Below are 12,145 nucleotides of genomic sequence, written 5' to 3'. Positions count from 1 at the left end.
ATACAGTGATCTACAACACAGTCAAGTCAGACTAATAATCATTCCAATAAAAAGCAAATAATATATACTTGCCATGAATAGTTTTACAGCCAAAATGACCAGGTCAGGAGCCGCTTGTGCACATAGCTAGTGAATAGAATTCTAATTGCCTAGTACTGCATAGTGCCTTACCCCAGTAGACTGCCCTAATGCCATGAAATACAATTTTTGGTATAAAACTTTTTTTTCTTGTCCATCCTGCATGGATCTCTCTTACTTGTTCCTAATCCTCCCAATTTGCAACCTAGAGAATTGTCTGTTTATGCTCTGGTCTCTCCCTTTGAAGCTGACACTTAGTACAGAGCCACCAATCCCTGACTTCCTTCCTTGACCATTATTTGTCCTTGCTCTCTTGAATACACAGCCATGAACAACTTCAGGTTAATATGTCACCGATCTGTTTCACTGGTTCCCCTCAGCCCTGTGTGTGACCCAAACATAAAACAGTAAAGGCATAACACATTTCATTTAACTTATAAGACATTCACTTAGCTTACAAGAATGGAGTAGCTGGGCAATAGCAGATTGTCATTAAATATTTTATTAGAACACATCTTCCCTGCCTTGAACTGAAAATATAATTGTATTAGGAGATTAGTTAGTTTTGATTCTTCTTAATACAATGAAGTAAAGATTTTAAGCTTTAATGAAATTTCCAGTCCAGAGTTTTAAAAATCCAGTACATTTTTTATTCTCTAGCCAAAGCAATACTACACATTTCAGATATCTGCTCTTAAAGTCATTATTTTTCATTTGTTCTGTTTCTCTGTCATCCCTACCAACAGTTCTTGTAGATTTTGATTACAGTATGAAAGGTAACATAGGAAGTACCAGTCTATTTGAATGGCCAGCTGTACTTTTTAAAAGGTCAGACATTAATTTTAATGTCTTCATTTCTATCCTTCCTAAGTTTCTTTCTGCCCTTTTCCAGAATGAAACTTTAAAATACATATCCTTCCCTTTTGAGATATCAACTCCTCACTTGTCAATTAAAAGTTTCTCTGATCAAATTTAATATTATGTGCTTTATAAATCCATACCAACCACAGTATTTAAGTTTTAGGCAACTTAATTTTTTTCAATTAAAATTGGATATTTTCTGTTATAAAATCATACCCATACTACATGTGTTATTTCACCATTATATTTTAGGATGTTATTTTCTACAATAAGAAAGGAATCTATATGTAGAAAACACATTGAATTGATTGGATAACCATCATTTTAAAATGGACAACCATTTTAATTTTGCCCTTACTTAACCCAAATATCTTAGAATTTACTTAGTATTTATGATATAAATGAACTTTCCTGTTAGCATCAGCCAAATACAGTGTTGTATATCTGAAAAGAAAATTAAATATTAATCATGTTCAAGAAGGCAGAGGCACGAGAAAAAGCAAAGGCATCAAACACCTAGTGTTTTAGATGGCTTCTCCATGTAATTAATAAAGAATAACAATAAAGTGGAGAATATAAGACAAGCTTTAGGATACAAAATTCCCCTCTATTTTCATTTTTCTGGTCCAAAATGCAACCAAGCTTTTTATATGTATATGGCTACACACACACACACACACACACACACACACACACAAAGAGACGGGAGTAACTACAGTGAGGTATATTTTATATATACCAATTCACTCATTTTAAGTGTACAATTCAATATTTTAAATAAATTTACCAAATTGTGCAACTTTCCCATAAGATAGTTTTAGAACTTTTTAATCACCCCTAAAAGAATTATCATGTCTATTTACTGTTAATTCCCACCATCAACTCCTTCACCATATCCCAAAGCCAGGTAATCTGCTTTCTGACTCTACAGATTTGCCTTTTCTGGATATTTTAAATGAATAGAATAATATAATACACGACCTCTTATTTCTGCATTTCTTCACGTAGCATATTTTTGAGATTCATTCATGTTGTTGCACATTCAGTAATTTTTTTCCTTTTAACTGCCGAATAATATTCCATTGTATGGCTATTGCACTTTTACCAGTTGGTAGACATTTAGATTGTTTTGAATTTTTGGCTATATCCAGTATTTGGTTGTATTCAATATTATGGAAAACCATGCTAATAACATCTGTGTGCAATTCTTTGTGTGGATTTATATTTTCATTTCTCATGGATATTAGACACCTAAGAGAGTTGCTGGGTCATACGTTAAATTATGTTTAATTTTTTAACAGCACTACTAAAACGTTTTCCAAAGTAGCTATATCATTTTACATTCCCACCAGCAATGTATGAGAGTTCCCATTTCTCCACACTGTCATTGACATTTTTATTGTTTATCTTTTTTATTATAGCTATTCTACTGGGCGTGAAATGATATCTCATTGTGGTTTTAATTTTCATTTTGCTAATAAAAAATTATGTTGAGCATCTTTCCATGTGCTTATTAGCCATTTTTATATATTCTTTTGTGAAGTGTCTATTCAAATACCTTTTGTGGTTGGGTTGTTCGTCTTATTATTTTCAAGGTGTAAAGGTTTTTTGTACAGTCTATATACAAATCTTTATCAGATACATATTTTCAATATTTTCTTCCAGTCTTTTGCTTACGTTTTAATTTTATTTTTTCCATCTTTTTCATTGATTGAGGTGAAATTCACACAATACAAAGTTAACCATCTTAAAGAATACAATTCAGTGACATTGAGTACCTTCACAGTATTATGCAACAACCACCAAGTTCCAAAATATTTTTTCACCCCAAAAGCAAGCCCTGTTCCCATTAGCTGTCTCCCACTTTTCTTTAATTGACAAATAATAGTTATATATATTTATGAGGTATAATGTGGTGCTTTGATTTTTATAATATGAAATGATTAAATCAGCATAATTAACAAATGTATCACCTCAGGTACTTATTTTTACTACCAAAACATTTAAAATCTAATTTTATAGGAATTTTGAAATATATATCATTATAATCACCATTCTGCACAACAGATCATTAAAGCTTATGCCTCCTGTCTATCTGAAACTTTACACCCTTTGATCAACATCTTCCCTTTCTCCATCCATCCCCCTCTTCCAGCCACTGGTAACCATCATTCTACTCACTATTTCTATGATTTCAACTTTTTTAGATTCCACATGTAAGTGAAATCATACGGTATTTGTCTTTCTGTTCCTAGCTTATTTTACTTAGCATGATGTGCTCCAGGTTCATCCATGTTATTTCCCCCTTTTTAAGGCTAAATAGTATTCCATTACAATACTACATATATATGTTCACCAAATAGTATAGTAACACTATACTATATATATACTACCTAGGTGTCAATTATCAATGAATGGATAAACAAAATTTGGTTTATGTATGTATGTGTGTGTATATATATATACACATACACACTATATATATGTGTATATAAGTATGTGTGTATATATATGTGTGTGTATATATATATATACACACATGCACACTATATATATACTACCTAGGTGTCAATTATTAATGAATGAAGAAAATCTGGTGTATTAGGTATGTGTGTGTATATATGTATGTGTGTTGTGTGTGTGTATATATACACACACACACCCCCAAATAGTAATTTGGTGTGTGTATATATGTATGTGTGTGTGTATATACATATATATACATATACATACATACATGTATATACATACACATACACACACACACACACACACACACATACATATACCCAATTTCTTTATCCATTCATTGATAATTGACACCTAGGTAGTTTTAATATCTTGGCTGTTGTGAATAATGCTGCAATGAACATGAGAACGCATAAATATTTTTGGCATACTGATTTCAATTCCTTTGGATACACACTCAGAAGTGGGATTACTGGATAATATGATAAATTATATACTTAGTTTTCTGAGGAGCCTCCATACTGTTTTCCAGAATGGATATATTAATTTACATTCCCATTCAACAGTGCACAAGCATTTTTTTTTCTCCACACCATCGTCAACACTTACTATCTTTCATCTTTTTTATAATAGCCATTCTAACAGGTATGAAGTAATACCTCATTGTGGTTTTAATTTGTATTTCCCTGATCATCAGTGATGAGAATATATATATACATATAATATATATAAATTTATAAATATATATATTAGATATATATTACATATCTAATATATATTAGATATATAATATATCTAATATATATCTGTTGGCCATTTGTATGTCCTCTTTTGAGAAGTGTCTACAAAGATTCTTTGACCATGTTTAGATTGGGTTGTTTTATTGCTATTGAGTTGTTTGAGTTCTTCATATATTTTAAATATTAGCCCCTCATCAGATGTATGTTTGAAAATATTTTCTCCTGATCTGTAGGTTGTCTCTTAACTCTACTGTTTCATTTGCTGTGCAGAGCTTTTTTGTTTGGTGTAATCCCGTTTGTTTATATTTTGCTTGTGCTTGTGCTTTTGGGGTCATATCTAAAATCGTCTTTGTCCAGTCCAATATTGTGAAGCATTTCTCTTGTTTTCTTCTTGTAGTTTTACAGTTTCGGGTCTCATGTTTAAGTACGTAATCCACTTTGAGTTAATTTTTGTTTATGGTGTGGAATAAGAGTCCAATTTTGTTCTTCTGCTTGTGTAGATCCAGTTTTCCCAACACCATTTATTGAAGAGACTATTCTTTCTCCACTAGTGCTTTCTTGGCACCTCTGTTGAAAATCAATTGACCACAAATATATGGGCTTATTTCTGGGCTGTCTATACTGTTCTATTGGTCAAAATGTCTGTTTTTAATGCCAGGACCATGTTGTTTTCGTTCATTATAGCTTATAGATTTTTAAGTTAGGTAGTGTAATGCATTCCGTTTTATTCTTTTTTTTCTCTATTCCTTTGACTGTTTGAGATCTTTTGTGGTTCCATACAAATTTTAGAATTGTTTTTATTTCTGTGAAAAATTACATTGGAATTTTGGTAGGGATTTCATTGAATCTATAGACCTCTTTGGGTAGTATGGACATTTCTTTTAATTTCTTAATTGTATTAATCAGGGTTTTCCAGAGGGACATAATCAATCAGAATTAATGGAATGTATGTGTGTGTGTATGTGTATATATATGTGTGTGTATGTGTATATATGTGTGTGTCTGTGTGTGTGTGTATGTGTGTGTGTGTGTGTGTATATATATATATATATATATATATATATATATATATATATATATATATAAAGGAGAGTTTATTAAGTATTAACTCACACAGTCACATGGTCCCACAATAGGCCATCTGCAGGCTGAGGAGCAACGAGAGCCAGTCTGAGTTCCAAAACTGAAGAACTTGGAGTCTGATGTTTGAAGGCAGGAAGCATCCAGCATGGGAGAAATATATAGGTTGGGAAGCTAGGCCAGTCTAACCTTTTCAAGTTTTTCTGCCTGCTTTATATTCTCTGGCAGCTGATTAGATGGTGCCCATCCAGATTAAGGTGGGTTTGCCTTCCCCAGCCCACTGACTCAAATGTTAATATCCTTTGGCAATGCCTTCACAGACACACTCAGGATTAATACTTTGCATCCTTCCATCCAATCAAGTTGACACTCAGTATTAACCATCACAAGTCTACCCCTTGTCAACTTGAACCCATGCACATCTTCTGAGATTATGCATAATCTTCAAATAAAGACAGTAATAAGGTCATAATTATGTCTAATGTAATACAACTACCCTTCATACAACTGGAAATGTACCAATCCCCAACCCAAATACATAAAGTTAACAATACTTAAATGCTGATATGAAGTCAATAAATCTTATGTCACATGATAAAGGAAATAAAATGAAGATATTTTCTTAGTACAAGTGTATACGTGCACAAACATGTTTTTAACAAAAGAAGGAGGAAATACTTAGGACAATTACAGTCCTCATTCCTGCAGCTGGTCAAGTGGTCATAGCTGGTATTGGTGATTAACTTCTTCTACTACCCATTCTATATTCCCTTTGCCTTCAGCAAGCAACTCAGCAGGTTGTGCTTTTTTTCCTGATGGTGTGACCCAAACCTTCATTCCTGAAGGGTCTGGGCCATTTGTAGTCCTGCCTGGATTAGGCTGTTGTAGTTTCCCATTGACCTTAATCACAAGGCATGGTAATACTAAGCAACGCCCTAATGGATCTCCTAATAGATTCCATGCATACTCTTCCTTACCTAAGTTGTAGAGTAGTAGACTGATTTCATCTTGACAGTCCAGGTCTATTATCCCAGCCAATACTGTCACTCCCTTCTTAGCCCATTGACTTAAAGGTAGGAGAAGCCCAAAGTTTCCAGGTGGCACTCTTAACTTTCAGTTTAATGGAATCATTGTTGTATCTCCTGGTGACAGTGTTCCTCCCTCTGGAACTAAGACCTCTAGGCCAGCAGAACATAATGTCGCAGGAACAGGAAGCAAAAATTTTGCTAGTGGATCACTAGGGGTGATGGTGAGTGGTGCCACTTCCACTTCCATTCCTTGATTCCTGGACTCATGAATCCTGGCTATGGGAGAAACAGTACTGTATATTGGACACTGATTCGGAGCATACATGGCCTTCTGGCGAACTCTGCCCCAGCCCTGCAAAGTATTGTCACCAAGTTGGCATTGTAATTGTGACTTCCAAAGGCCATTCCACCATTCTATCATTCTAGCTGCTTCAGGATGATAGGGTACATGGTAAGACCAGTGAATTCCATGAGCATGAGCCCACTGCTGCACTTCTTTAGCCACAAAATGAGTGCCTTGTTCAGAGGCAATGCTGTGTGGAATACCATGATGGTGGATAAGGCATTCCATACGTTCACAGATGATAGTCTTGCCAGAAGCATTGCGTGAAGGATAGGCAAACCCATATCTGGAGTAAGTGTCTACTCCAGTGAGGACAAACCTCTGCTCTTTCCATGATGGAAGAGGTCCAATATAATCAACCTGCCACCCCAAGGAATGATGCCATATCTAGGGCTCAGTGTTGGTCTCTGCTGCTGGCAAATTGGGCACTCAGCAGTGGCAGTAGCCAGGTCAGCCTTGGTGAGTGGAAGTCCATGATGCTGAGCCCACGTGTAACCTCTATCCTTGCCACCATGGCCACTTTGTCCATGGGCCCATTGGGCAATGACATGGGTGGCTGGGGAAAGAGGCTGAGTGGTATCCACAGGTCATAGGTCATTCTATCCACTTGATCATTAAAATCCTCCTCTGCTGAGGTGACCCATTGGTAAGCACTCATATGGGATACAAATAACTTCACAGTGTTTGGCCACTCAGGTCCCTCCACATTAGTGATGTCTTTTATATTTACATTTTACTAGTTAGCCATTTTTACTCAGAGACTTTCCTTGTTAAACTTTAATTTCAAAGATCATTTAATTCAGATACTGATTACCTTACTATTATTATACCAATCCAGATTTTTGAAAGCAATTTATGATGTAAAAAATACAAATCAATGTCAAAATAAAATTAATATTGGGAATTATCAGAAAAGACTAACAACTTAATAGAAATTATATAAATTATACAACCTAATAGAAAAAATGGGTATAGTCAATTTAAAGAAGAAATATGGATGACTAACATGAAAATATTTACAACCTCATTAATAGGTTATAAAAACTAAAATAATATTTTTTGTTTCACATCCATGAAATTGGAAGAAGGTAAAACTCTGATAGCATCAAAGGTTGGCCATATGGAGCAGCAAATGCTCTTCTACACAGCTGAAAGAAGTGCTATTTGGAACAACTATTTTGAAGAATGATTCAGTAAAACCTAGTATGGTGGAAGATTCTCATTCCTTTCACCACAACAAACAAAAACAACAAACACCCTTAGTAAAACTCTTACCATACAAAACATACATCAGTTTTGTTTCTATACACTAACAATGAACTGTCTGAAAAAGAAATTATGAAAATGAGTCAATTCACAATAGCATTGAAAAAGAATACAATACTTAGGAATAAATTTAAAGAGGTAAAATATCTGCACTGAAAACAGTACATGTTGATGAAAGACATTGAAGAAGACACCAAAAAAGAAAAGGCATCCCATGTTCATGGATTGGAATAATTAGTATTGGTAAAATGTCCAGACTATACAAAGTGATCTACAGATTTAATGTGATTCCTATCAAAATTCAAGTGGCATTTTTCACAGAAATAGAAAAAAAATCCTAAAATTCCCATGGAAAAAGGACCCAAATCGCCAAAGCAATCTTGAGCAAAAGAACAAAGCTGGAGGCATCATACTTTCTGATTTCAAAATATATTACAAAGTTACAGTAATTAAAACTTACTTTCTTTGCTGAGACTATTTTTTCATTTGTTTCAAAGATATTTGTAATTTTCCACTGAAGCATTTGCATGATGGCTGTTCTATGATCCTTTTCAGGATTTTAACATCTATGTTATCCTGTCATTGGTGTCTTTTGATTGTGTTTTCATAATTAGTTTGAGATCTTTTTGATTCTTGGTATGAAAAGTGATTATTAAAACCTTAGGATATTATAAGGCTCAAAATTTTCTTTTGATCTTGTGCTGTACTGTAACTCCCCTGACGCTGCTCAAGTGGGTAGAGGCGGAATGTCACTTTGTAACTGCCATGTGAAGGTGAAGTCTAGGTTCTCCACTTGGCCTCCTATTATACATGGGTAGAGAGGGGCCCCTTGTTATTGCTTAACAGAGGTGGAGTCCAGCACTCCCACTAGGCCTCCACTGATACCACCCTGGTGGAGACAGAGGTACCTCATTACTGCCCCTAGGTGGCCTCCACAGATACTGCAAGAAGGTGGCATTGTTATTTGTCGTAAAATTTCTAACTTCACATTAGGCTTCCTCTGATACCATCCCAGTGAGGAACGCGTAGGAGTGCCTCATTACTGCCTGTTGGAGTAGGAATCCTGGCTCCCCACATATTCTCTCTTAACACCATGGAAGGGAAGATACTCATTGCTCATCAAGAAATAAAGTCCTGGCTCCCCACTTGGCCTCTGTCCTGAACCCAGCAAGAGTTTTGGGACCCTCCTTACCTCCTGGCCAGGGTGGATATCTAAGCACTTAATTCAATCTTTCTAGTAGGTGGAGGTGGGGCCTCAGTTTTTTCTGTGGTGTTTGACTAGGGTCAAGAGGTTATTATCTAAAAGTTGTCTGGCTTGTCCGGCTACCCTTTTCCAGGCCCTTTGGCTAGAACAAGCAGGCTTTCCTTGGGTCATTATTTGTCCGCTCCTATTGGCATTTGTGGTTGCCAGCTTCTCCAATATCAGGTCTGAGACACCTGAGGCAAAAGAAAATCCTGAGAAGTCACTACTATGTTGTTCCTTGTGTTGTGAAGTCCTTAGCCAGTCTGGCTTTTCTCTCTCTTGAGTCTTCTTTTCTTTTATATAAAGCATCCAAGCTTTCTAGTTGTACTTAGTGAAAGGAATAGGGAAAAGTATGTCTTACTTCATCTTCTCAAAGCAAAAGTCATCACAACTCTTTTTGAAGAAGTACCACATATGGCAGCCACCAAGATTCTCATTTAGCCCAGCCTTGCTGTGTTCTCATGAATTTGAGTTTCTTGGTGACAAAGGTTTCAAAATACCATAACAAGCCATATAATTTATTCATTCACTTATTCTTAAATTATGCCAGGTATCCCATTAGGCATGACTAGAAGCAATAAGCTAGTCAAATACCCTGTATTCTATGGGCTAACAGATATCAAGAAGAGACTGAAAAATATATAAACAAATATAACAATGTATCATAGGCACTTATATGCAAAAGAAATAATGGTGGCGCCAAAGAATGATCAATTCTAACCCTTGTGGTCAGAGATGTGTTATCTTTTAGGCACAGTAGACAGTGCCTAGGACCCACTTTTTAGCAGTCTACAAAAATGTTTTATTTTATTTTAAAATCAGAAGAAAAGTTAACTTTTAGGTAGACAAAAATGTTTTCAATATATAATATTAATATATTCAGTTTTATGCCAATTCAATTGTAAAATACAAATTTTAATTTTTTCATGAAGAAAGGTGTCCACAAAACTGCTTAGGGCCCATGAAATAATAATGCAGCCCTAGTTGGAATAAACATAAGTAAAGGTTTGTTAGAGGAGATAGCTTGTCTAAGTTGATTAAAATAGTGTTGGTGTTCCCCTATCAGACATGAGAGAGAGAAGCATTTCAGCTAAAAGGAACAGCAGGAGCAAAGGTTTCCAAAGATAAGAATCAGCCTAACATGTTTTAAAACTCTAAAAACAATGCCAGGTCTAATGTATGAAGTTCTAGGAAGAGCTATAGATGCTACCAAAATTTGTTTATGTACTTGAAGCTCATTATGCACAAACTCTCGTAATTAGAATACTTCAAGGATAAGAATTACAGAATTGGTTATTTCCACATCAGATAGGAACTTAAAGCAAAGAAAAAATCAATATTGACAGTCACTGATGTTTCTTGCTAATTAATTCAAATAAAGCTCTTCATTTCTAGGAGGTAAATATATTATGAATCAGACTTCATTGGAATATGAATTTCAGTAAAAGATTCAATGCTACCTCACGTGCTCCCATGGAATTTTCTACATAATTTCTTTCCTCTTGTTTATGAGAAATATAATCATTCCTAGGTAACTCGGGACAAATAAAAATAATTACCCATTACAAAGTATCTGTGTCTGTGGTACAGAAAATGGATGATGATGGAGCATGGTGATAGCAGGAGGGGAACAAACCTCTTTCATTTCTAAGCTGTGCAAAGTCAGAGCCACATGATCAGTCAGAGAATGTGCAGAGAATAAAAATGCCCTTCAAAAGGGTCTCCATGACCTACTGGGCCTTTCTGCCCAGCCTTGATGTCAGTTAAATTGCTAGTGGTCAAGTCACAGACCATGGTCATTTGTAATAGCCCAGCACTTTTGATTTTAAGGAAGCTACAAATTGCTCTTTGTATAGAGGATAAGTTGAATTAATCTTTTTAAAACGTCATGATGATTCCGTTCAAAATTAGAATGACTTAATAGAGTTCACTAAAATAAAAATCTAAAAAGCTAGGCAACAACAAGCCCACCAAAAATTGTACCCTTCGAAGTAAGCCCAAGAATTCTGCACTTTGAGCCTACATTGATTTTTGAGCAGTGTTTTTTCCTTTCTTTTCTTTTTCTGACAGGATCTCACTCTGTTGCCCAGGCTAGAATGCAGTGGTGCCATCACAGCTCACTTGCACCATTGACCTCCCTGGTACAACCAATCCTCCCACCTCAGCCTCTTGAGTAGCTGGAACTACAGCACATGCCACCATGTCCAGCTAATTTTTAAAGTTTTTGTGGAAACAGGGTCTCACTATGTTGCCTAGGCTGGAACATTTTTTCTCAACTCTGTCACTGTTGATCTTGCAGGCAAGATCTTTGTTGTGAGGGGCTCTACTGAACATTGCTGGATGTTTAGTAATATTGCCGGCTTCTATCCTCAAAATGCCAATAGTAGCAATTCTCCCTTTGCCACCCAAGGGTGAAAACTAAAAATTTCTACAGACTTTGCCATATGTCCTCTTCAAGGGGAGAGAGAAAAAAGGCATGGAGACTTCCCCTGATGGAGAACTACTAATTTAGGAGAATTAAGAGCAGAGTCCCTAGGATGAGAATTTTTGAGCTGGTGAAGAAACTTCTTTAGCTGGGTTAAAAGTCACAGTTTTAGCCAAGGGGACAACCATATTCCTGCCTAATACCTAACAGAGGGAAATCTGAAAATTACCTCAGGGCCTTGTTGTACTGGGGGAAACAAAGGGCTTCCCAAGCCCAGAGTCTACGGGTGATACTAAAACACTCTGAACTCCAGAAGAAAGCAGGGCTGTTTTATCCGTTAGGTACTATAGGGCCAATTGCTAGAGCCTGTGAGCTATTTAAGAGCCCATGAAAATACATAAGAAATTGTTTAAAGGCATCAAAAATATGCAAAACCAAATGAAAAATATGTAAAAATACGCCTGAAAAAGTAAAACTCTAGCAGCTTCATTAACTATTAAACTTAGTCTTCACAACAATTTCATTAATATAAAAATGATTTGTAAGTAGGCTACTGTAAATATAAAAATAATCCTTTGCAGAGAAACTATAAATAACTGTATATTAAATTAG

General features: G+C 35.5%; 1 protein-coding gene across 2 annotated transcripts in view; it reads right to left on the bottom strand.

The window, feature by feature from the left end:
* Window positions 1–12,145, bottom strand: part of PLPPR1 (phospholipid phosphatase related 1) — a 296,409-nt gene that overhangs the window by 139,808 nt on the left and 144,456 nt on the right. The window contains exon 1 of one of the 2 annotated variants that reach the window (NM_017753.3): window positions 73–293. The exons of the other annotated variant lie outside the window; for it this stretch is intronic. The gene's annotated coding sequence lies outside the window, so the exon portion shown is untranslated. Of the gene's footprint in view, window positions 1–72; window positions 294–12,145 lie in introns of those variants that run through there. 2 annotated transcript variants of the gene reach the window in all.

This window comes from Homo sapiens, chromosome 9, assembly GCF_000001405.40.
Source record: "Homo sapiens chromosome 9, GRCh38.p14 Primary Assembly".
NCBI classification, from domain to species: Eukaryota; Metazoa; Chordata; class Mammalia; order Primates; family Hominidae; genus Homo; species Homo sapiens.
Note: the sequence above shows the minus strand (reverse complement) of the source record. Positions and strands in the feature narration are given on the sequence as shown.